At 37.3% G+C, this 27,436-nt stretch overlaps 1 protein-coding gene across 1 annotated transcript in view, besides 1 other annotated feature; it reads right to left on the bottom strand.

Annotated features, from left to right (window-relative positions):
• GABRR3 (gamma-aminobutyric acid type A receptor subunit rho3) overlaps nucleotides 1-23,407 on the bottom strand; it is a 50,214-nt gene extending 26,807 nt beyond the window's left edge. The window contains exons 1-5 of the mRNA NM_001105580.3: nucleotides 23,282-23,407; nucleotides 22,955-23,081; nucleotides 13,659-13,771; nucleotides 5,747-5,814; nucleotides 436-659 (exon numbers count right to left, since the gene is read on the bottom strand). Coding sequence (NP_001099050.1) covers nucleotides 436-659; nucleotides 5,747-5,814; nucleotides 13,659-13,771; nucleotides 22,955-23,079 — 530 coding nt within the window. The 5' untranslated portion in view covers nucleotides 23,080-23,081; nucleotides 23,282-23,407. The remainder of the gene's footprint in view (nucleotides 1-435; nucleotides 660-5,746; nucleotides 5,815-13,658; nucleotides 13,772-22,954; nucleotides 23,082-23,281) is intronic.
• Nucleotides 11,413-11,462: an enhancer, noted in NCBI's record as "active region_20130". NCBI's record gives its function as "activates an Ori minimal core promoter by ATAC-STARR-seq in GM12878 lymphoblastoid cells {active_cell/tissue: GM12878}" and the evidence as "EXISTENCE:reporter gene assay evidence [ECO:0000049][PMID:35858748]".

The following is a 27,436-nucleotide window of genomic DNA, read 5'->3' on the forward strand; positions in this document are numbered from 1 at the left end:
CAAATTGGTGTTAGCTTGAATGATAGCCATGCCTTCCCATGAAAAATGAAGGAGACAACTAAGAAAAGTTATTTAGCTAATCCAAGGTTCCAAAACTGCTTGGTGGGGTGCCAGGGTGGGGTGGAGTTGGTGAGGAGGAAAACAGGCTTGTTTACTTATAATATTGTGTGCCAGATTTTAGGATTTCCATAATTCAGCTCATTCTATTTGTCCAATCGACATATACCCAGAGTGGGTAGAGTTAGAATAGAAAATCATTTTTTAAAATCTGGATGTTAGAACCAGGGGAAAATCACATCTTATGCTTGTGTCCCAATCTCCAGCAGCATTAAACAGACAGCAACATTGTGAGTTTCATCTGAAATAAGCATCATCAGCTTTGGTGCAGATGGCTGCAGTACAGGGAAGCCAAAGGCGATAGGCAGCTTTCCTTACCTGAGACTTAGGAGGACGTTTCCATCAGGGTGTACGCGCAGCATGATATTCTCCATAGTTGTATCATGGATGAAGGATCTTTTAGAGTGGACAAAAAAGATATCAGGCACCCAGATCTTTCTGGTCAATCTATGATCAAATGTCATGCTTTTGTTTGCTGTGCTAGGAAAGGAGAGCCTCTCGTCTTTCCAGTAATGCCTGAGATAAAAAGTCATTGTAAAGTCCTAGACAGAGAGAAAAAGAGACCAAAAAAACCAGTAGGAATATGGTTCAGGATGACCACTCAACACTGTTAGTCCCAGGACTCATTCCTATGGTGTTAATGACTTTTAAGTGAATGGTTAATATTGTAGTTTCAAGTAGATCTAGGATGAAGCTAAGGAGGTTATGCTTTGAGCTTCTCCTTCACATGGAGCCTAGTGAACGTTGAGAATTTCTGGGAGTTATAATAGAATATTCAAGTTGGGGAAGGGGAACCAGGTTATAAATGGGAAGCATTTCTGTGTAAGCATTCTGGTAAATAACCTAAAGAGATTTCAGAAGAAAGGAACCTGAAACTTTACTATTTTATTGTCCATTATTTTATTGTGACTTCCTTTTTTATTCTAAATCACTTTTAAAACTGATTTTGTATTGATACTCATGTTATTTTTGTTAAAGAAGTTTTCCCAAATCGAATAAACTACAGTCCCATAAAAACATGGATACAGTGTTTATTAGAGCTATTCGTGTAAAGCAAGTTGTCAGAAGTCCTGGGACAGAGACAGAATCATCCTCAGCTTGAGAGATAGAAAGCATATTGTGAAATGGTAGTTCTCAAAGTTTAGTGTGCAAAGACTGACTTTTGAAGTTTGTTGAAATGGCACATTTCCCAGAAGCTAGTTCTCAGAGATTCTGATTCAGTATGGCTCAGGGATTTGAATTGTTACTGTTTATTCTTACATTGTAAGAATGTATTGATGAGAGGAAAAAACTGTACTAGCATTATATTAGAAAAAACAGTTTATTTAGTTAATAATTTGAGTTTTGTTTGGCTCTCAGATGTTCCAAATATTTGGTTGTTTGAATAGAAACTCCCCCAGCTTCATCCAAATTATTGGCTGTTGGACAATTACAATTTCTTACTTCCTACTATTTTGCAATTGCTTACTTCTTACTATTTCACAATTGCTTACTTCTTACTATCTTTTTTTCCAACACTAATCAAATTTTTCTTGAACCATTGCATATCATAGAACTTTGGCATTTATTATACAAACAAAGGATACATTTCAGTAAACTCTGAATGAGTCACCAATTAATTATGAGCTAGTTTGTCCTAGGTTCAGAATAGAGCTATACTGATTTATGGCTCTGGATTAATCTAGGAACATTAGCCATGTGTAATTTTGAATTAGGGTGAGGGCAAATAAACAGAATGGTTGCTTCATTAACATAATACAAGGAATTGTGTGGGTTACTGCACAGAGAGCCTTAATAAGCATATATTTAGAATTAGATGCTCAGTGTGATCTGAAGTTCACTGGGCAAACACTGAGTTTATGCAGTCAAATAGCAGACGTTGGTGCATGTCTGTGATATAGCAAGTCACCACACGCTGGCACTATCAGGAGCAGGCCAAACAGCATTCTGGGAGGAGGGTGAGACAAATCTTAAATAGATCAAAAGTGAAGTTAGGGCGGATGAGAGAGTAGAAAGATGATAAATGAGAAGCAAAAACAAATAAACAAACCAACAAAAAAACCAACACTAGGGGGAAGGGTGAATCACTGACAATCAGAAAGCATTTTCAAACTGGGCATGTGAACCCAGTCCAGTTTTATCTGATACGGACTAGCACAGCTAACCTTATTCAGGAGGTAAAGATGATGTCCAGTTCTGGGTGCTGCTGGTTAGAAACAATAAGGACTTTAGATGCAAACTGGGTCATTCAGAAATGACTTGAATAATACGCCAGGAGAGGGGAAATAAAAGCTTGTTCTCAGAGCACAACAGGCTTGGGGAAGTATCATTCAGAAATGACTTGGATAATATGTCATTCAGAAATGACTTGGATAATATTCCAGGAAAGGGGAAATAAAAGCTTGTTCTCAGAGCACAACAGGCTTGGGGAAGTATCAGTAAAAGAGCTGCCTTTGGGTAAGAAAGGGGCAAAATCTTCTAAACCAATCTTTTTTGAGTAGCGAGTCCTATTAGTGCTATTCCCTTTTGCAGGAGAATGGCAAATGAATCTTTAAGACTTACATTGAGCTGAAATAAATATTGAATTAGATAATGATAAGGATGAGGCAGACCATTAGCTGAAGAGTTTACAGACTGAAACAAGGTGTAATGGGTCATAGAAGATTTTGTTTAGAACTTTCTAGAATTTTTATGTGTTCTGAACTTTTAGTGATTTGGAGGAATCACTATAAATAAAAATATGAATTAAGGATATAGATGAAAAGATTATTTGATTTTAGTGATTGATATTTTCTAGGTCCCTCCCTCAACAGATCCCTGTTTGTTCACTTTGTCTCTCTCTTTTTATCTTTAATTGCAGTATTTGCATTATTACAAAAATAATACACAGAATCTAAATTTTAAATTTTAACACTCTGAAAATCACTATATAAGCTACAGTTTATGTATCAACAATACTTATTCTAAAGCATATATAAAAACAACTTTTGAAAGTTTTATAAGAACACACATGTAAAATATTCCAGAAAATGGAATGAAATTCAAGGATTCATGTACGTAAAAATGGCCATCAAATGAGTGGATTGGATAAACAACAAACTAAATCTTTTCAGATGGAAAATGGAGTTTGAAAAGAAAATAACTTAACTTTTCCCAATCATGGAAGAGCTACTCCTTGGTTTTATTAAAAAGAGTCTCACTCTGCCACCCAGGATTAATTGCAGTGGTGTGATCTTGGTTCAGTATAACCTCCACCTCCCAGGTTCAAGTTATTTTCCTGCCTCAACCTACTGAGTAGCTGGGACTACAGGGATGTGCCACCACACCCAGCTAATTTTTTTTGTATTTTCAGTAGAAACAGGGTTTCCTCATGTTGGCCAGGCTGGTCTCGAACTCCTGACCTCAAATGATCTGGCCACCTTGGCCTCCCGAAGTGCTGGGATTATAGGCATGAGCCACTGCTCTTGGCCCAAACATTAAATTGTTTACTACTTTGGGTAGAATGGAGATAAAAAACTAAAATTCAAACCAAATACAAAATTGAAACCAAACCAAAACATATTCATAAGCTGCATCTTACTAGTAGGTACCAGTTAGGGCCTTTATCATTAACTCCTGAAAGTGGTGTAGTATTGAAAGAAAAGGAAAGAGATCCATCTAAAGAGGATGACGGAAAAGATAGCAATTGAGGACAAAGAAATGAGATGGAAAAAGCAATTTAAATATAAAGACACATAGCCATTGGGTAAGAACACGTGATAGAGTTTGGATGTTTGTTCCCTCCAAATGTTGTGTTGGAATTTGATACCCAGTGTTGGAGGTGGGGCTTGAAGGGAGGTGTATTAGTCCATTTTCACACTGCTATAGAGAACTACCTGAGACTGTGTAATTTATAAAGAAAAGAGGTTTAATTGACTCACAGTTCTGCATGGCTGGGGAGGCCTCACGAAACTTACAACCACGGCAGAAGGCAAAGGGGAAGAAAGCACCTTCTTCACAGGGCAGCAGGAGAGAGAGCATGTGCAGGGGAAACTGCCACTTTCAAATAATCAGGTCTCATGAGAACTCTTTCACTATCACAAGAACAGCATGGGGGAAACTGCCCCCATGATCAAATCACCTCCCACAAGGTCCCTCCCTCAACATGTCAAGATGAGATTTGGGTGGGGAACACAGAGCCAAACCATATCAGGAGGTATTTAGGTCTTGACGGCAGATCCTTCAGGAATAGCTTGGAGCCATCTTCTTAGTAATGAATGAGTTCTCAATTATTTCCCATGACAGTCTTCTCCCTTCTTCACCCCTGCCACCTGGAGCTGGTTGTTGAAAGAACCTAGTACCTCCCCCACCCCCCATTCCTCCTTCTCTTGCCATGTGATGCCTGCTCCCGTTCACCTTCCACCATGAGTAGAAGCTTCCTGAGGCCCTCACCAGGAGCAGATGGCGGTGTCATGCTCCTTGTATGGCCTGCAGAACCATGGGCCAAGCAAACCTCTTTTCTTTATAAACTGCCCAGCCTCAGGTATTCCTTTACTGTAACACAAACAGACTAAGACAACAAGGAAACAGGTGCTGAAAATTTGAAGCTGTAAAGGCACCCTTTATTTGGGATAGAAAAACAAACTGAAGGGGGCTCAACCAAACTCTGAAACTACATTAACAAATTAATAGATCAAGAGTGAGTAAAAAGGAAATATATCTGAAAACAAATATGTAGGTGCTTGTATGTATAAGCTAGCAATGTTATTAACTATTCTTAGAGCAAAAAAACTGAAAAACCTAAAATCACTTAAATGAAAAATGTCTCTGGTAATTATGTAAACAAGGAAAGTGGTCCTAAATTGGGAATAGAGAAAATAAAATGGAAAATTACGGTTGATAATATTAAAACATAAAAATAGCCAAAGTGATTAAGGGACGGGAAGAAGAAACAGAAAAGCAAGGCATGCAAAATGTCATAGAAGACAGAAAAAGGCTAACAGGAAGCTTGAAGATAAGGGATCAGTTTCAAGTTTTATGGATATTTCATAGAGTGAATAATACTCTAGGAAAATACAGATGTTTCATTGCAAAATTAAATAATGGCAGTCTTTTTTAGATTTCTAGAAAAATATAAGGGAGTAGACAAATTTTTAATTAAATTTTTAGTCCCATGAACTTAAAAAAATTCTTTGTCCTCTGCTACTGGTTGTCTACAGATAAGCAAAATTAATATCATTTGATATATTTGAAAGCAGTCCATCAATGCTGGTTCAACTGTTTATTATTTTACAGGCAAGGACTCATGATTCGGATTTCATATCGCACATATAGTATGGTCATCCTTCTGTTTATACAATTGTTCCCAGTTCTTGCTACATTGGTAAATATATCATGATGTTCTACAGTGTTCCACCACTAGAAATCCATTAGAAGGAAAATAGAAGAGTAGAAAAGGAATGAGAATTCTAATCAAGGTTAGAATGAAGAGGATGGAAGAGAGCACAGCAATCATGACCCTATGATTAATCAAAGTAGGAGACATAAATAACATACATAATTAAAATGATTTATTAAAACACTAGTGATTTTGACACTGCCGAGTTTCTGTCTTTTCAGAAAAAGAGCAATATCCCATGAAGAAACTTACCATGTTAGTCTCTGAAATGCTGTCAATGCTTTCAACATGGACATCTATACCTACTGGCACTGGAGACCCTTAAGAAAGAAGAATGGTTAATATGCTGAGGAATGCATTATAATCATTTTAAAACCATTTAAAACAGAGAGATTAATTCTCTTGGACAGCAACTGAATTACTGTTAAAGTTTTTTTAAACAACAAATTTCTCCATTATTCATTGAATCAGTTATTATATACTCAATTATTATAATAAAGGCACATGTGTAAATAAATGGTATTCTAATAATCATTACTCATTTGCTTGGGATCATGCCAATAATTTCCTCCTCTAGTATAAGAGTGGTGCCTCCAGTTTTCTTTTTTTTTTTTTTTTAGTTTTTTATTCTTTTTACCTACTAGTGATTTAAAAAGGAAAAGTGTTTTGAAAACATGTCTTAAGAGTATGTAGAATTATGTACTCTTAAGTACAAATATGGTAATGGTCATATCTCATAGTCAGGGAGTGTCATAGAATCCTTGACGTGGGCAATGTTGGGACCTTTTCTCTGGTGTCAAAAATATCAGCCTTTTCCATTTGTGCTGTGGTTGGTGGAGTAGAGGAACACAGAGAAAATTTTATTGAGACTAAAAGTACAGTGCCACACAGGGACAACACAGATCAGATTCCGAAGTGTCCCTTTGCAGATCAGCAGCAACCACAGGCTGCATTTGTGAAGAAGCAAATATCCTTAGAAATCCATTTAATGAGAAAATACTGAGAGTAGAATTGGAGCAATTTCAGACAGAGCACTGCTGACACTTGTACAGTTGAGTCACCCAGAATCAGGTTCATGGGCCCAGAAAACCTGAATGACAACCAACAGAATCCAGACTAGACTGACATTTCCTAGTTACACCTAACAAACGATTTCACCACTTCCAGTGTGAGTCGAAATTGATGTTAGTAACATCAACATTTAGTTTTGCGATGGAAATTTTATGTACATATGTGTTAAAATAATTTATATATTTATATATGTAGTCTTTTATATGTTCTCTTTCCATATAAGCCATTCTCGATTAAACCTTATTGTCTCTATAGTCCTGAGTTTTAAAAAATGTTTTCAATTATGGTTGAGAAAATATAAATCCTGCCTAAATGGATCCAAGCTGGTTGTTTTAATCGAGATTCAAAGATTTAGGCCGGGCGTGGTGGCTCACTCCTGTTATCCCAGCACTTTGGCAGGCCGAGGTGGACGGATCACTTGAGGACAGGAGTTTGAGACCAGCTTCACCAACATGGTGAAACCCCGTCTCTACTAAAAATACAAAAATTAGCCAGGCGTGATGGTGTGTGCTTGTAATTCCAGCTACTCGGAAGACTGACGCATGAGAATTGCTTGAATGCAGGAGGCAGGGGCTGCAGTGAGCTGAGATGGCGCCCCTGCACTCCAGTCTGGGTGACAGAGCTAGACTCTCTCTCAAAAAAAAAAAGAAAAAGAAAAAAGAAAAGAAAAGAAAGGAAAACAAAAGAAAAGAAGATAAAAGAAACAAAGAAAGATTTAGAGGAGTCAAGTCTGAAAAGCTTCCTTAATGAGGCTGAGGCTACGTAATGCCTGGATGTGCTACATGGGACAGGCGTGCCTATAATTCGACAGCCCTTTAAATGCATAATACTATAGAAACCCAAGGTATGTCTTGCCAGTCCTGTATCTTTTCTGTGACTGCCCCAGGAATTAACTGATGTCACCTTCACTTTATTAACAAATTCCCTTTTTTGGATCCTCAAATCCATGCCCTCGGTATCATTTTTTTACTTTCAAGGGTTTCAGGTGGCCAGGCACAGGGATGGCATGCAAATATATTCCTGCTTCAGGCTTCTGGAATACCTCAGTTACATCTTAACTACCATCTTCTTCCTGACATATTGGATCAATTACTATATACCCTATAACACTAATTATGACTTTTTTTTTTGAGACAGAGTTTCACTCCGTCGCCCAGGCTGGAGGGCAGTGGCACGATCTTGGCTCACTGCAACCTCTGCCTCCTGGGTTCAAGTGATTCTTGTGCCTCAACCTCCTGAGTAGCTGGGATTAGAGGCATGTGTCACCATGCCCAGCTAATTTTGTTCACCACGTTGGCTAGGCTGGTCTCAAACTCCTGACCTCAGGTGATCTGCCCGCCTAGGCCTCCTAAAGTGCTGGGATTACAGGCATGAATCACTGCACCTGGCCAAATTATGACAATTTTTAAATAGTGTTTAATGGTGATTTTGATTAAGCATTAACTTGGGAACATCTCACTATTATTCCTTCATAGGGTTTGGCTCTGGTGCTTTTTTACGTGTGTGTGCCTTTTTTCTTGGAATTAGTAGAATAATCAAAATAACAATTCACGAAAATATCTTTGCCATGGCTCTACCTGGTATTTTAGATTGAGTAAATCTTCCCAATAATTCCAAAACTCCAAGGGAAGAAAAAATTTGAAAAGGTCTTGGAGGAGCGGCAGAATGTCCCAAATGAAGTTCTAGCATGAAAGTCACTTAGGCTAGAGTTTGAAACCAGCTCCACAATTGTTATGTGAATGAGAGTAAGTAATGTCTCTAAGCTCAGTTTACCTGATTTATAAAATTTGTCTAGTAATACTTACCTTGGAGACTCATTTGAGGACTAGACATAGTACAGTTACTGAACTTAATTTGTAGTCAATAAATGGCATATAATAAATGTTATCACTACTGCAATTAAGCAAAAATATAAACCTGCCCCTTAGGAATGTAAGCCACTACTCCCAATCCTACGCACATTTAGATAATGAGTCCAATCTTCAAAAAAAAAAAAAAAAAAGGAAAAGAAAAAGATACAGTGCTTCTCATCATTTATTTATTTTTTTAAATCAGAGAGCAACTTGCAGCTAGTACCTCATGATTTATAAATAGATCCTAGTTGCTGACAACTGTCTCTACAAGCCTGGGGACAGTCTTGTAAAACTACCCTCCAAGGACCTATTTATGCCACTGTTGCCCAAGCACTGGAGCCTAAAGGTTGTTTGAAGGCTGATCTGAGATCGGGGTTAAAACATAGCTTGTCTATTAGGAATGGGTTTCTGGAAATACCTTCGATTTCTTCCTTTCGTCCTCCAGATTTATACTGGTTCTGGTGGGGATAAGCTCTTCCATTTGCAAGGAAAATGTATGCCCTTGGGTGCCGTCTGGCCTCATTTCTTTTTCTTTTTCTTTTTCTTTTTTTTTTTTTTTTTGAGATGGAGTCTCACTCAGGCTGGAGTGCAGTGGTGTAATCTCGGCTCACGGCAACCTCCACCTCCTGGGTTCAAGCGATTCTCTGGCCTCAGCCTCCTGAGGAGCTGGGATTACAGGCATGCACTACCACCCCTGGATAATTTTTTTTTTATTTTTAGTAGAGACTGGGTTTCATCATGTTGGTCAGGCTGGTCTCGAACTCCTGACCTCAAATGATCCGCCTGCTTCGGCCTCCCAAAGTGCTGGGATTACAGGCGTGAGCCACTGCACCAGGCCGTCATTTCTGCCTGGTTTGAGCTCCATGTCCCACTGCACCTTATTCATGGGTTTGAGGAACTGTATTACGCTCTAGCATTCTTGAGGATAGAGTAGAGAGTGAGCAGCATGTAAAGCCAAAACGCAGAATCAGAGTTTGGGAGCCAGATAAAAGCTCCAAAGATCGTTCTTTTTACAAAAAAGGAGCTGAGTCACAGATAGAAGGTGGCAATAAAGCATATGGATTCAAATCCATGGAATTTGTAGCCATATAAACCTGAGTTAGTACCAAACTTCTGTAAATACCTCAACTCCTCATGTAATCTGTAAAACAGAACTAAATATATGGTACCTACTTTTTGGGTTGCTGTGATTATGTGAAAGGAAGCTTGTCAAGTCCTTAGCCTAACCCCATTCAGATGTATTAAAACCAACTTACATGTTATCTATCTATTGGATCAGTAATAAATGTAACAGTGTAAATAATAATTTTTAGATAATTTTATTAATTCAGTACCTAAAGCATTTAAAATATAGTGAAAATTAAATAAATATTAACCATTACGATGATTGTGTTGATTTCTCAGGATCACTAACTAGGTAGTAGCACACACATTTATAATCCTTTTTGTATATGGCAAGATATAGCATCTATTTGGTTTTTATGCAGGCTGGAATAATGAGGGCTAAATAAAAGTTATACATCTGATTTGTATAATGCATTTAAAGTTCATTATATAATATATCATCTAATCTTTTAATTATAGCTGCTTTGTTAGCTAGAGAGAGCTGATTTTAGCTCCTCTTGACACGAGGGAGTGCATACTCAGAGAGGTTACAACACGTGCCTGAAACCCAAAGTTAGTTAATGATAGGAAAGTAGCCAGATCCTTCTGACTCACAGTATAGTCCTCTCCTTTGACAAGCAAAGACTGTGCAAGCAGCTTTTATAACTTTAGCTTTTGTCTTGACTCTGTAGCCAGTATCTGCATACTGAAATGATTTCACTTTGAAGAAACAAAGAAATTATCATCTATAAAACTAAAACAAAAAAGCCCTTAGTTATGGGAGACGTAAAAGGTGGGGAAAACATAAATAAAGAAAATGAGCTGCAATTTATAACCCAAGTTAAACAAAAAGCTCCCCTAAATTTATATCCTCCTGTTTCCACATAATGAGTCAATTAATCTTCTAATGCTTTATAAAAGTAAAAAACACTGCAGTAGCAGCTGGTTTTAATGTTAAAGCTAATTAGGAAGACACATTAAGGCAAGAGAAGTGCTGAAGTTAACATTTAGCTCAAGAGGGAAAAAGTATGTGCGTGTGTTTGTGTTGCGGACAAGCATAAAGAAAGAAGATAAATTAAAGCTTGTCTTTTATATTCTGCAGTCTGATTTCCCCAAGGAAGGCAGCCATGAGAACAGAGAAATGGGTCACTGGTATAAGAAGCTGTTCTGACCAAGACAGGCAAGAGAAGGTTAAGGGGTGTCTTTCACAGAGCTACCAGACTGACACTTCTGACTGAATTTATGAAGATTTTTCGGCTCAAACTGACTAATCACACAAGCCATTTGGACACCATTTCACCCCAGTATATGATTGTCAGAAAAATTTCTTAATCATGGGATGATTTGCCGCCTGCCACTAAGTAGCACATTTCAATTGCATTTTTAACAACCCTACGAAGTCGCCTCGGGAAAGAAAGTATTTTTAAAAAAATGCATTTTCATTTAAAAAAAATCTTTAAATGTATCTCTAACAGATCAAGCACAGTGGAAATTTCAGGTCAATTTCATGTTTTTCTGGACGGGGGGAGGACGAGGTAGGGATGGAGAATGAAGGCATACATGTTTTAAGATAAGAGAGGAGAGTTGGCTCTCCGTCATCTACAGGAGTGCTTCTCAAACTGTAAGGTTTAGGGGAATCACTGCAGAGTTTTATTTAGAATCCTGAGTTGGGGCCCGTGCATCTGCATTTCTAACTCCCAGGTGATTCTGCGGCTGGTCCATGGACCACTTTGAGTGTCAAAGCCTCTCTAGACCGCACTTGGTTCAAGGTCTACATTCAAGGATAGTCATTTTTCTCTCAATCTTTCTTCCTTTACATGGCCTCAAATAATCTCCATAAAAACCCTTTCCTCTAGGATAGGAGCGAGTTTAACTGAGAAATCTAACCTGACATGAATTAGGGCAGGTTTTTGAATTCGTGTTGAAAAGAGCTTCCAACTGTGGCTCCGGAGTGGCCAGTTTCAAGCCATTCCTGTGTGACTGGCGCCCCCTGGTGGCCGAAAACCCAGGGACAGGCAAATGTATCGACTGAAGATTCCTGCTTGTTATATGGTGGTAGGGGAAATATTTTAAAGATCTTTTATAGAATCACAGGGACCAAGGTACAAAATATCTGCGTAGTAGTTGTAGAACCTATTATATAAACTTTGGGAAAATTTGGCTGGGGAAACACAGTTGAGAACGGTCGTAAGGAAGATACATAAGAGAAGTAGTGAAGAAAAGTAAAAAAAGATAAAGAAATAGTCTCAGAAGAAAAAAAGAGACATATTTCTAAACCTGCTTCATCTCAAGGCTTCTGAAATCTTAAATTATGATTCAATAAGTGTGAAAAATGCTCTGCAAAACAAAAAATTAAACTCACCATGATTTCATCTGATGCTGATCACCTAATACAGTGATCACCTAATACAGCGATTCTCTGGCCTCAGCCTCCCGAGGAGCTCTCAAATTGTGATTCTCAGACCAGCAGCATCACCTAGGAATTTGTTAGAAACGCAAATGGTTGGCCCCACCCAGATCTAGTGGGTCAGAGACTCTGGGGGTGGAACCCAGTAAGCTGTGCCTTCAGAACCCCCAGGTGATCCTGATGCTCACCAAAGTCTGAGTCACAAATGTGATGAAATCAAGGTTAGACCCTTAGAATTGGCCGGGTGTGGTGGCTTACACCTGTAATCCCAGCACTCTGGGAGGCCGAGGTGGGTGGATCACCTGAAGTCAGGAGTTTGAGAACAACCTGACCAACAGGGTGAAACCCTCTCTCTACTAAAACATGCAACAATTAGCTTGGCCTGGTTTCACGTGCCTGTAATCCCAGCTACTTGGGAGGCTGAGGCTGGAGAATCACTTGAATCTGGGAAGTGGAGGATGCAGTGAGCCGAGATCGCGCCACTGCATGCCAGCAATCCAGCCTGGGTGACAGAGTGAGACTCCGTCTCAAAAAAAAAAAAAAAAAAAAAAAAGAACAGGAACCACATGGATTTCAGGAAATTGAAAAAACAAACAACCACCCCCTAAAAAAATCCAATCCTCAACGTGAGAATATTTAACATACGTTTTTGTTTTGCCTGTTAACAAATTAGTTCTCTGCAGTACCTACATGCCTATTGTGCTTCCCTTGGTCATAACCACATCATGAGAAGAGTATCCCCCGCCCTGAACACTTGCGGTATTCGTTATTCATCAGAAGGCTGTATCTGTTATACTGCCAGAGGATCTTTCTTCTCACCCTCATCCATACTTCCCTCATCTCCACATCTCTAGGATTCTCAAAAGTTGTCAGTTCAGGAATTGTGGAAGTGGAAGGCTCCATCAATGAAAGAAGAATCAGGATGGATTTAGCTGTAAGCCAGAGAGTTTAACCTGATGATTTCACCATATCCTGTGTATTGTTGGAAAACTTGGTACCCTCAGTGATGCAACTGTGTGTACATTAAGTAGTCTAAGGAGAAGAAAGTCTTTGTTCCAATTATGTACCTGTAATATGAATTTTCATCTTCTTTACCTGCCATCGCAGCTCAGCTCTACCACTTTCTGTTTTCATGGCCTTGGGCAAATCTCTTAACCTCTCTTAAGACCCAGTGTTCACATTGCAATATTAAGTATCATGACAGTGCCTATTTCATAGGATCACTGTGAGGATGGAATAAGATAGTACATTAAGGGGTATTCTAACACTTGATCAATCTTAATTGCTAGAAGTGATAAACCGTTTTTAAAAGACAATTCAGCAGAGTACGTTCAGAGGAAGCCATGGCATTTGCCATACTAATTCTTCCCCCAAAGCATGGCATTCTAGCTCATAAGAATATTCAATAAGATTTTATAAATAACATGTATCCAATTTAAGGATTTTAGTTAGAAAATAAGTTGGTGTATAGGCAACATATATCCATTCTCTATTTATGGAACACATACTATTTACTACAGTGTGCATAGTAGGAAAATGAGTTTTTTTGGTCAATTTAAAATGGATAACTCATCAATTGTTCTCATTAAAGAGAAGGTGATTGTAAAAGCCTTCTTTTTTTGTTTTAAACTGATGGACTTTACTTGCATTTTGGTCTTGTTTTAAATTTTCACCTCCATTTTGACAGTGCAATGGGTTTTGAAATGAATTTTGAGAGGATAATACTCACCTCCAAATCCAGGTCTCATTGCGAAATCGTTGTCCTCTATATGGAGAAGTTGCTCATATTTCTGAGGCCGCGCTTTGGTACTGTCATCTTTCTTCATTCTAGTTTCTTGTTTGCTGTTCCCCCAAAGGGAAAAAAAAAACTTCTGAGATACATATGCTTCTGGATATTTTGATTTAGGTTAGCCATCTGTGCTCAACATAACATGTTCTGAAATACATACATAAAAGCTCATTTTCTCAGTTCATATTAAGCCAAAGAGCTGTCAACATTTGTTCTTTATTATATAAGTGTGGAGCAAATAAGGTAAACCAAATTTTGGAGCACATTAAGTGACAAACTCAGTTGGATTTAATGCACAAACTCATATTGTTTCTCAGAATACGGTTTTTAGACCTGGAAAATCCCAATTACCTGAGTGGAGGTGATCAAAACTCAGATTCATGGACTCCTGTCCCAGATCAACTAAATCAGTCCCCTAGGAAGCAGGGCCTAGTAATCTGCACCTGAACAAGCTACCTAGGTGATCCTTGGGGTCACTGGGGCTGAACAATCTCTGCACGAAGACAGCGAGAAAACGAAAGGACCGCAAGATTGTAAACAGATTAAGGCAGTGTTCTACAAAGACAAAATGAGCAGAAAATACAGGGTGCAGGCTGAGAGCGCACCGGGCAGAATTCCCATCCGGGGTTCTAGAGCCTGAGGGATGGCAATATTTATGCCTGAAGCCAGGTCAAATTGTGAAGTAGGTGATGTCTGTTTTTACCTACAGTTCTCTAGGACGAAGGAAAGCAGGCAGTGGCCTCTTGGCCCTAGGTGTCCTGACTGGGAATAAGGCCCTGTCTCTCCCTGTGTCGGTGAGCTTGAGCAGGTTGCTGGACCTCCCTGATTTGTTTTCTGCCCTGTGACACCTACTTCTCAGTGATACTGTGGGTGTGGAGGGGAAATGTCTGTTTTAGCATAGCTCCTTTGTGAGCAACTTGCAGCAGCCTTCAGCCGGAGACCTTGCTCAGCACCTCCTTCCAGAAAAAGGTGGCTGTCATCATCATCATCATCATCATCATCATCATCATCATCATCATCATCGTGGGCAGCAGGAGCAATAACGCAAGACCCTGAGGGCTCTACTAAGTGGATCCTAGTCATTCTGAATAGCTAATATGCTTTTGTATTAATACAAAATATTAATTCACATCGGAAACCAATGTGAATTTTAATATAAGACATGTAGGTGAACTTTCTTACACAATAAAGTGACTTCGATGGGGAGAATTTCAGAATCTGGAGCAGCTGCTAAAAGGAATACATCTTATGGGCACCTGAGATCACCCAGTGTGGTCTTTCAATAGGGAAGTTTCTGGCTGAAACCATCAGAGGTTTACAGATGTGTAGTTTATCATTGATAGAAATGCAGAAGTTGGGAAAAGAAATCTGTTTTTGGTAGAAGGCAATGAGTTTTATTTTAAACATGTTAAGCCATTATATCCTATGAATAATTGAACACATACAACTAGTTTTTCCAAGGAGCTAGAATTAACTAGAAAAGTTTTTTCAAGGAGCTAGAATGAACTATTTATTAAAAAAAAATAGCAGCTAGCTTTTATTAAATGTCTACTATGTTCAAGTCACCAAGCCAAAGTAAACATTATTTTCATTGGCATACATCCAAATTATGCTCTGTTTGGGCCCTATGCCTAGAGCTTCTGTTTCAATAGGTTTGGGGTATGACAATTTGCATGTATAACAATTTCTCAAGAGATCCACCGGCCTAGAAAATAGTAGACATTTAATAAATCTAACTACTTGTTACTATTTTAAGAAAAATGGAAATGTAACTATGAGTGAAAACTCATGAAAATTTGTAAACCTCTTTGGTAATAATCTTTTAATACAGCTAAATGGCATGTCACTAATGTGTGTGCTCAGAAGCATACCTCTCCATGAGATTGAAAAGGATAAATCTTAATTAAGAATCCCAAGAATGCTTAAGACAGAGCCCACTGTGAAATGCTCTCTTGGCAGCGTGCGAAAGCACCTGCACCTGTTCTAACTTGAGGGCTCTTCAGGTGCACAATGAGATGTTCCATATTTATCTACTTTTGCCTTTTTTTGTATTTTTTATACCTTCTATTTCCCAAAAAGGATCTGTTGCTTAAATACGCTTTTAAAGAATTTTGAAAATCTATATATTCCCCTCACATATATTTAAATAGACATTTACATTTCTTCATCATAAATTTTGAAATTACTCAAATATTGATGATTTCAGATAAAACATATTGTTCCTTTAAGTGTATCCAGTGAATCTAAATATACACATTATGCATTTAAAGATACCTGAACAAGCTTTTTAAAAATCAGAAATTTTATATCATTCTTTTTTTAAAAAAAACTACTATCTCCATTTTATTTACTTCATATAATTTTATCACTCCATCATGTACCTTTGTAAGAAAAATGTGTAAGCATAGAAATTAACTTTTTTATTTTCTATAATAATTATGAATGGAATAAAACAATTTGTTTAAATATTGATACTTATTAAAATTAAGAATAAAATTTTATTAAAATTGTATTTATTAATGAACTGATGATTCACTTTCTCCAATTATTCTATGTATCGGCAAATGGGTATTACTCATTGCTGGAATAAAACTCGGTTTTTGCATTAATTCTGTTCTTATTTTTTAATCTTTATAGATGGAAATATTGAGAAAGTTTGTTCATATATGTGGAAGTACATGGAATTTGAAGAAATTTTGTTTCAGTATTCTTTTAACAAAGCAACTTAATTACTTAAACTCCTTACTTACTTTTCAAAACTCACACTGTAGAATTTATCTTCAACAATCAGTTTAATTATTTATAACCTGACAAATTAATTAGGTTCTTCCTTCAATTTTGTTAAAAGCAAAAAATAGAGAATTGCCATTAAGAAAAGTACAGCATCATCCGCTATCTCAACAACAATATTTGTAATGATCTCTTTGTACCCAGGAACTTTTTACACGCTGGGGCAATACTCGTAGGATTCAGGAAGAGGGAGAGGGATGCCTGTATATTGCCAGGTGGGACAGAGCAATCATTAAAAGGAGGTAATAAAGGACACTGCAGGTGGTGAGTAGATCAGTTTTAAGAAAGAGGTCAGAGGGAAGTTAAAGATCCAAAAACTGTTTTAAAACTATTCATGTCTACATGCCCCTCAGATACCTTGCATCTACCCTTAGAGGTATAATACATTGTACCCCAGGAGGATAGACACCCTCGTTTGAAGGCCTCTGATGCATACATAGGAAGGTAAATAAAATGAAGGATGAAATAAAACCAAGGAGACAGAAGGAAATTTGCTTAATAAAGGATCACTATATCATGGAGCATCAGATTTATCTCAGAGTGTTCTAGTCTTATTCTATACACATACCACTTTAAATCCCTTTGTGTCTTCTCCCCTCTCCCCCATTCTAGAAAAAAAAAATGATTTCAGTTTAGCCGCTACTGAGAAGAAGCTTTTGGATTTCTTCTGTCTGAGGAGAGGATCTTCTAGGAGTCTGAGTCCTGATGGGATCAGGCAAAGAAATCTCAATTCGTGGGAGAGCCTCTCACTGGCATTCCTAATTTTTGTCCTTTCCCACAAAGTATTATGAAGATTGAGAAACAGTAGGCGTGAGTCTTGGTAATAGGTGTGGTTTTTCTCTTTGAATTGGGGCCTCTTCCTTCCTGGGTCACACAAAGAAAACATATTTCTATGCTCCCTCTTCTCAGTGTCAGAAACTCTACTGTAATTGTGTGACAAAGAAAGCAGAGGTCTGGGAGGAGGGAAAGGCTTGATTCTGAGTGGTCTCAGGGGGACTAAGAGGGTCTTTGAGGAGGACATAGTAGTCAAAGGATTAAAAACTAGAACTGATTGAGGAAAAGGAAATGCACCTAACTCATTCTGCGGCATTGGAGTTTTATAAGTGGAATGATAAAAAATCATCTGACTTGAGTCACACACACTCGGTTGGCTGCCTTATAAAACTGCTTTCCCTGGAGCCTGGAGGCCTACATATTTGATGAGTTAACTAGAATCAGAATTTGAAAAGAACTAGGTCTGACACGAAGAGACTAGTTACCCAAGGGAGGACATAATTAATAAGCAAATTTAAAAGTATTTAATTGAGGGGGTCAAGAGTGTGATACCAATTGAAGCCATAACTGTCATTTTATATCTATTAAATTAGCAAAAGACAAAAAATAATGTTAGTGCCCCATGCTGTGAAGGATATGATGAGGCCAGGTGCGATGGCTCACACCTGTAATCCCAGCACTTTGGGAGGCGAAGGCGGGCGGATCACTTGAGGTCAGGAGTTCGAGACCAGACTGGCCAACATGGTAAACCCCATCTCTACTAAAAATACAAAAATTAGCCAGGTGTGGTGGTGGGAGCCTGTAATTTCATCTACTCAGGAGGCCGAGGCAGGAGAATCACTTGAACCTGGGAGGCAGAGGTGGCAGTGAGCCGAGATCGTGTCACTGCACTCCAGCCTGGGTGACAGAGTGAGACTGTCTTGGAAAAAAAAAAAAAAAGGATATGATTAAATCCTTTTCATTTTGCAGGTGGGAGTATAAATATTGGTAAACTCCCCTAGAAATTCATCTCAAGAACTATAAAAATATTTCATGTGCTTTACTCAATTATACAATTCCAGAAAAATCATAATTTTCTCGGTAAAGAAAAAAATAAAATGTGTGAAAACATTTATTGCTGTTACTTATAATAGTGCAAACTTGAAAATAAATGTTCAGAAACAAAGGAGATAATTCTTGTCCTTTAATTCAAATTAATAATATGGAGTGATTAAAATACCATTATGGTGTCTATGAAGCAATGTGAGAAATGCTTAAGTGAAGAAAATACAAAATGGTTTCTATGCTATGATTTTAAACATGGAAAAATCATGTAGTTTCATGAATCAGGATTAGACGTGAGCTTGGAAAAACAAAAGCATAACTGGATTCTAGGTATCTTTTTCCACATAAAAATCCATTATTGCTATTGTTATTTGTATCATAAATTATCTAGAAAAAATTGAACTTGCCATTTATAATCCTTTCCAAATAAGAATCTGGTCAAAACTCTCCACCTTATCACTCCATTCTCCTTGTCATTCTAGAAGCATGGCCTCTTGATAACATGGACGTTTTTCTCAGTCAAGCTTTACTGTGAACCAGTGCACACTGAAACTCAGCTAACTGTTCCAAATAATGTAGGCAAAATTTTAAAAACTTTTTGTAGGCTTATTATTTTTCTTTAGAAAAATACAAAATGAAGCAAAAATGTTCTATTAGGCTATATACATGGATGCAAATCCAAGGAATAAGGTAAAGTAGTGGGAAAATCAATTGGTCCAATTTTTCATCACGAAGAAAACCTTCATAATTCTTGATCCAATCTTTATTTCCAGGCTCTGGATGTTTTTGAAAAGTCTTAGAGAAAACGTGGTACATCAGATGTAGTGAATCTTATGGCTCTGATTGAACTCCTAACTTCTGAACTCTGGAAATACATACCTGACTTTTTCAATAGCCTGTCTCTTGTAAAGGAAAAAATCTAGGCAGATGAACATTTCTGTGGAAAAGCCAGCCAGAGAGAATGCTTCACTTGAAACACGACAGTTCCCACATCTCACTTGGGTCTCTGTCAGATCACAAGCTCAGTGAGGAGGCCTCAGTTTCCTCATCTGTGAAATGAGGAAATTAGACCAGATTAGCAGCTAGTCTGCAGACATTTTTAAAAAATGGTTCACGTGGTACATTAACTTGGAAAAATTCAGAGAAAAGCTTGGATTTCTTGCTTCTTTTGAAAAAAATCAGAAAATCTGGCCACACGAGGCTCAAGTTCTCTTATAACAAGAGAAGGCTGTGGGCACGGTGGCTCATGCCTATAATCCCAGCACTTTGGGAGGCCAAGGCTGGAGGATCATTTGAGGCCAGGAGTTTGAGTCCAGCCTGGGCAACATAGACAGACCCAATCTCTACCAAAAAAATATAAAAGCCAGGTGTAGTGGCACACGCCTGTTGTCCCAGCTACTTGGGAGGTTGAGGTGGGAGGACCACTTGAGCACAGGTGTTTGAGGTTATAGTGAACTATGATTGGACCACCGCACTCCAGCCTGGGCAAGAGAACAAGACCTTGTTTCAGAAAAAAAAAAGTTAAAAATTAAAAAACAAACAAAAACAAGAGAAGGCTGAACCTGACCAGCCAGTTTCCCTCAGAGGAGCATATACCTTGTAGTTGTAGTCTCTGCCACTCTCTTCTGTCTTGCTTGCAGTAGCATTGGATTTGCCATGCCTGAGAACCTACTGGCTTTTACATTAGGTTCAGGGTAATGTTTAACAAGTGACTCTTTAGGAAAAAAAGCCCCAGTTTATAGTAGTGTTTTATTTCCATGGTGTAAATACTTCCACCATGGCTGATTTCAGGCTACCAACAACATGCATGGCAGAGATGTGTCTAGCACATAGTATAGTATAGTATAGTATAGTATAGTATAGTATAGTATAGTATAGTATAGTATAGTAATGGTATACTGTAGTATTTCTACAATACAGTTACAATAGACCTAAATAACCTCAAGAGCAACAGATGATAAAGTGTGGAGAAATCATTGGGAAGTGGTGAGTTTTAAGTATTTGCTACCTTTATTTTAGAAAGTATTTAATTTAATTGCAGGCTTATATAATTTATTTTTTAATAATGTGTGCTTTTAACAGCCAGCTGATAAATTTCCTGAAAATGATTGGCTGTTGCAAGCCAGACTGAGCAGACTCCAGCACTCTGCTGATTATTTTCAAGGCCAGAGTCAATACGTTGCTCTTATAGCATTTTTAGCCCCAACCCAGCACTTGCATGTAAATATCACTCAGTGTAATTGTTGAAAGAATGAATAAATATTCAGTGAGTCTATTTGCTTAATCCTCTTTGCATCATCCAGGAGTAAAATTTCTTCTCTAGGTAAAAGGGGAACATTTTCCACCTGCCATAACTTACTTTATTCACACCTCTCCCTACTTTGTTTTTAGGAAACAAAAGATATGTTTGAATACATATTTTTTTAAAGTCTTTAGGTTTTGAAAGAAGGGAATCTCTGGATTAAAAAGTGAGGTTATATTCTGAATGAAAACAACTAAAAGCAAAACATTTAAGAGCCTTATTGTATAAAAACTGGCCCCAAACAATGCATATATAAATCCCCCTTATAATTTTCAAAGATCATGTCTTCCTTTCATGTTCACTCTATTAGTTCTTTTGCATTATAGAAGAGTGGATTATTCATTAATTCATTCATTACTTAATTATTGGCTGATAATCAGGTCGGGTGCTGGGCAAAGAACCTCACAGTATCTATTCACATACTAAGGTAGGAAGACTCCTGGGCCTCTTACTCTAAAAATGACTCTATACAGTAATTACTGTATTTTGGTCAAATGCCCTAAAATCTGCATGACAGAGTGCTTGAATGACAGCTCAGAAATTGGCTGGCTGTGTTACTCTGTTCACTCAGGGAAAATGCCTGGGTTTCATTCTAAGTGGCTACTTCTGGACCAGTGTGATGGTTTATGCAATCTCCAGTGCCCTGGAGGGTGTTTCTTTGAAGAACAAAAGAAGCAGATATAAATTTTAATGAATCCCATTCTGGCTTGTGACTCAAAGGAGCACTTCATTTAGGAATATAGAAGTGACAACAAATATGATTGGCCCCACATGGCCGAAATCCTGGCGTTTCCTACGGGGGAAGTCTGCTTTTGCATAGGCTCTAAAATTCTTCTTTTCCTTTACATAGGATCTAAAAATGAGGCATTTAACATCAGAAAAAATTTCTACCTCACCACAAAGAACCAATGTTCTTTTCTTTTTCTTTAAATGTCACCTAAAAAATATACATGGTAGATTTTTTCTGTAGCAACTCTGCCACTGATAGTGGGTTGGTGTGATGAATTAGCTACTATAGTCATCTCTCTTCTCCTCATCTAAACATCCACCAGACTGTACAAGTCTACTCTATGGATGACAGATAATATTTTAAGCAGTGTCCTTTGATTTTTAAAATTAGATAAAACATACTATAAAACGTAATAAGCTATATGAAAAAAAATAGAGTCTGGTGGTACACTCTTACATTTCCCAAATATTTCCTTAGCTAATTGCTATGACGAAGACTGGGAAAGTGGTTAAATGGAACAAGACTTCATATCATCTCAGGTCTGGGTCTGGGAGCAGAAGCATGGAAGGGAAGTGTGAGCAGTAGTCCCTGATTTTTAATCGCAGTGCAGGAATCAGTAATCTAGTAACACACTTCTTTTGGTTTTGGTCATTAAACCTGAGACTTCAGAAGATATTTATCAAAATTTTATGTTCTCTTTCCTGATCTTACAGTGAATGCATAATACATATTTAGGATGTGAGAGCAATCTAGCTTAAACATCTGTCACCCCATTGGCTGCCAGTGTTGACCAGATGATACTCTTCATTCCTCAATTTCTCCTTTTGGGTCTTTTTGGAAATATGGTGCTTGGTGAAAAGAGAACTCTTTCTCAAAGACATTATTTGATTATTAAAGGTATATGGGTAGTAGGGTGACAAATCATTCCAGTATGCCTGGGGCTGAAGGGATTCCTGGCATTTTTAGTACTAAAACCTATAAAGCCCTAGGCAAATTGGTGTATAAAGAGGTCACTCTCACAGATAGCTATCTCCCTTACTAGCACGTCCAAACATGCTCCTGATTATTGATGGGAAGATAATAATGATGATGTCTTGATATTCATGATTTGTCAAACGTATGAAAATTATTCTTGAAAGACAAATGGCTTTAATGCCTTTTGATACTATTTCATCAATCCATGAAACTATATACCCTAGAAATACTTGACATTAAATGAAGTTGGTGCTTAGACTAATTTCTACTCAAAATAAATTTGAAGAAACATTAAACAAGTATTTAATGTATTAGTAATAAATGTACTACTAATTGAAGAAATACATTCTCTGAAAGAGGATCCTTACATGAACCCTTTAACTGTTTTCTCCCAAATAAGCATAAATAAATTTACAAATGTCAGCAAATTCCAAGATATTGCTCTTTCGGATGTCAAACAGAGGTGATTTATGATGATGCATGAATGCTATCTCTAGAGACAGACATGGTTACAAAGATGTGCTACCATTAAAGATACGTTTCCAGGTTTCCTGTAGGTCTGAGACAACTGTTGAGAGAAACTGGGCAGTAATTCCATGGACTGCACTATGAGCATCTTACCAGGTTTGTTTCATTGAAGAGGAGCACCGCTGGTGTGTCATCTTGATGTTAGAAGCAGCACAAACATTTGGTTTCAATATGATCCAGATGTAGGTGAAGGAGACTAACTGGAAAGCCAGGACCATCTCTTCCAAAACAAAAAAACAGAAAGGATGCAGGTGAACGCAACCAATACTGTGATCACAGTTTCTTCTTCATGTGTCTTTTAAAAAACAAACAGCATGTCAGGGGAAATGCATTAGGGGAAAAAGAAAGACATTGTCTTCAATGCTGCACTTTGTTTTAGCAGATTAAATTGACTCACAGCACTTACAGGCAAATATCTACCTGGATCTTCAGCAATTTGAGGAAAACAAAGCAGATTTTTAAAATTTTCAGTTTACATCCTTTGGTCCCTTTTTCCGGGGAAGGTTTTTAGTGTGATGCTCAATCCATACTCAGTAAACCCTCAGCGGCAGTCCTAAGCAAACAAAGAAGTGAGGTTAAGCATTAATCCTCTTAATCCAATGCAATATCATTTAAATATACTTAGTGACTCAGCAAAATAATATGCTTATTGAGAAAAAAAGATGATTAATTTAATCTTAATTACACGTTTGAAGACCTTTTCCATTATCTTATGGCTCCTTTTAATCCAGAAAGAATCTTTTCCTCCCCAAATGCCATACAGACTGCCTTAGCATGAATACAAAATAAAATTATTTTTTTTAAGGTAAATAATCATATTTTAAGATGATGGTTTATTTCATTGATAACAAAAGTGGTTTAATTTAAGGTTTATTTAATAGCAAGCAACCCAGTTAATAAAAATGAACTTAATCCTGGTCAGTGTGCAAAGCACACACTGTCACTGTTAAATTATAGCCACACACTCTCCTAAAGGTGCTTTGCATACTTAGAGAAAATATTTAAGAAAATATTTCTACTTCACATATGCAAAGCACCAATAAATGGTCATGTCATTGAAATTAATCTTCTTCAACTGGAATAGCACAAGGTGAGCAACACAGCAACGGTTGACCTTTTTACTAGGACTTAGGAAGAAAGCCATTTTCTTCCCAGAAATATAGTGTTGTGAGAGAAATTCTTAAATTTCCTCAAATTGATTTGTGTCCTTGACACCTTCTATTTTGTGTAATTGCTTAATCATACTTATTTCTTTTGGTTTGGGTTATGGCTTCTTTTAGCCCATGCATTAAAACCTTCTCCTATGTTTCTTAAGCATGTCTTTTCTCTTTAAAATATATTTTAATATAAAAGATTACAAATATACAGAATGATGTAATAAATCCTTGCTTCTCTTCTTAGGCTCGATTTAGTGTTTATAATCATATGCAGTTATACTATTATTGTATATGTATGTATCTATAAATAATGTACAAACTTCTGCATGTTTTAAAACTTTATATAAGTGGTGTCATATTCTACTTTTACTACTAAAAGCTACTTTTTCTTTCAACTTAATGCTTAGGGATTTATTATGTTGATAAATGTGCCTCTAGTTAATTCATTTTAACTGCTATATGGCACTTCAGTATGGATGCATAACATTGCATTTATTCGTATTTTTGTTGATGGGCATTGTTTCTTATTTTTCTATTATAAACAATCCTGCAATAAATTCTTATAAATATTTTCTTGTACACATGTGTAAGTGTTTCTTTAGGATAAATACCTAAAAGTAAAATGGCTAGGACAAATAATTTTCACACCTTCAAATTTACTAAGCACAATCATATTGCTCATCAAAGTGCTTGTACCAATTTACTTCCCCACTAGCAGTGAATGAGAGTTCTTATTTCTTAAAATATTTTTTAACATTGGTATTATCAGACTTTTAAATGTTAAGTAATTCAATCAGTATTGTAATTTTAATTTCTGTAATGTTTAGAAACGTTGAAGCATTTTCTTCAGGTATTTCGGAGCCAGTAAGCCTTCTTTGAAGAGCCAATGGAAGAAATGTAGGAAAAGTTGCCCATCTTAAGCTACTGTCACTTTGGTTGTTGGAAGACCGCACTGTGGTCAAAGTTTGTTTCAGTACATTCCACCTCAGTGCTCTTACGAGATCCAGGGCACCAACCCCTCGGCCCTAGCACTATCTATTACCTCGTCCCCTCTTCACTTAGTAAGCAACATCTACACTAACATTTCCCAAAGTATTTCTTGGCTACACTGAAGGCATTTTGTGAAAAATTGTTATGTACTAAATGAGTTTGGGAAACATTATACATTTTATTACTCTGTTAGGGGTCACACTCTTACCCCAGGGCCTTTGCACTGGTTGTCACCCTTGCCTGACATATTGTTCATCTGGATATCTATATGGCTAACTCCCTTAACAAATTCAAATGTATGCTAAAATGTCATCTATTGAATGAAGTATACCCTGACCACTCTTTTTAAAAATACCGTATTCTTTCTTTCCTCCTACAACCTGTGTTACCAATCTACCTTTCATCCTGCTTAGCATGTTTTATATAATTTACATTATGTTTATTGTTCATAATCTGTCTTATCCGGCTAGAATGTAAGCTCTGCAAGGAAGTGATCTTTGTTTTGTTCCCTGAGGCATCCCAAACACTTATAATTATCTTTGAAGTATAGTTGGTATTAGTAAATATTTCTTAAATAATGAATGAATATTAACACGTTCAAGGCTTCAGTTGAAAAAAAAAAAGCCTGCTTTGTTCTGCTGAATTCTGTGTCTCTCAAACTTATTTGATCTCAGATCCCATTTTAAAACAAAACAAGACAAAACAAAACAAAACAAAACAAAAGAAAACCACGATACTTACATTCTCCCAAAATAGTACTCCTCCATGACAGCCAGTTCTCATTCATAGGTAAATCAGTGAGATTCTCATTTATAGGCAAATTGGTGCTTTGCACATTCTCCTTACCAAAATTCTGTGTCCTATCATCTTGAGACAACCTTTGATGACTGCTAAACTTTTACGTTCGCAAAGAAATATTGGTAGCTGATAAAGAATAAGCAAGATTGAAGAGGAGACTTCACGAAGTGGTCTTTGATCTGAAGGAATGAAGCACTGGAATAGAAGATGTCCTCTTTACAGGACTCAGTGGAGCTATTTGGGGCACTTATTTTTCGGAAATATCTGTCAAGTCATATGCCTCCTCACTGTCACTTAAATTATGTTAGGATGCCCTGGTGTCTCCTTCTGCATCGCAGGGATGAATCATGATGAGAATCTGTCTGACCTCTTTACTGAATAATCTTTGCTAGACTATCTATATCGCTATAAACATTAAGGAAGAAATAAAAGCAGTTTGTTTTTTGATGATGAATTTTAAGTGGGAAATGGTCTGCATAAAAATAAAAATAAGGCAATGGCTTACACTAGAGAGAGTTGACTTACAGAAAGTCTAAGGGTTTTAGTTCAATTACAAGAAGGCATCTGCCTCTGTTGATGCTGAGTTAGCTCCTTAACCTTATTCCTTTAGAGCTTCCCTTTGCAAGCTCAGTAAGCTTCTTAAGAAAAAAAAAAAAAGCAGAAAAGCACATCTGTCAGAACTAGAAAGTGGTAACTACCAGGAAACAAAATGAATCACAGGGTCACTGGAGAATTTCGTAGTAGTTTAAGCTCTCCCTTGCATAAATTGTCTCCTGTTTACTCTTCTTCCACTCTGATGATGTCAGTCAGCCAGTTTTTATTTCTTTGGCAGCGACATAAAGAGAAAATTTGGAAAGGATGGCTGTGTCGCCAATCTTGGGGTATGTAGCCATTATTTTGCCTATAAAGAGAAAACAAAAGAAAAGCTAAGGTCTTATTTAGACTGGATCTGACAACAGCAACAACAACAAATTCCAAGCTTCTATAAATTTCCCACTGTGTCTGCAGGATGTCATCTAGGCAAAATATCTTGATTTGCAAATTGTAGAGTCATAAAATCTTAATAGGGAAAGACTTTTGGAAATCATTTAGACTACATTTAATGTCTCTCCTGCTCTCTTTTATGCAGAGGAAGCTAGGACTAGAGAGGTTAAGTGATCAACTAATTTAGTTTTCATATTTACAGTCATGTGCTGCACAACGACGTTTTGGTCAGTGATGGACCACATATATGACTGCAGTTCTCCAATAAGCTAAGGTTAATTTATTATTGAAGAAAGAAAAATATTTTGTATAAATTTAGTATAGCCTAAGTGTACAGTTGACAGTAGTGTACAGTCATGTCTTGGGCTTTCACACTCAGTCACCCAGAACAACTCACTAACTCACCCAGAACAACTTTCAGTCCTGTTAACTCCATTCATGGTAAGTGCCCTATACAATTCATCTTTTATACTGCATTTTAACTGAACCTTTTCTATTTTGTCTATGTTTATACATGTTTAGATACACAAATACGTACCATTGTGTTACAATTGCCTATAGTATTTGGTATAATAACGTGCTGTATAGGTTTGTGGCCTAGGAGTAATATCATATAGCATAGGTGTGCAGTAGGCTAGACCATAGA

Source organism: Homo sapiens, chromosome 3 (assembly GCF_000001405.40).
Source record: "Homo sapiens chromosome 3, GRCh38.p14 Primary Assembly".
Classification (NCBI taxonomy): domain Eukaryota; kingdom Metazoa; phylum Chordata; class Mammalia; order Primates; family Hominidae; genus Homo; species Homo sapiens.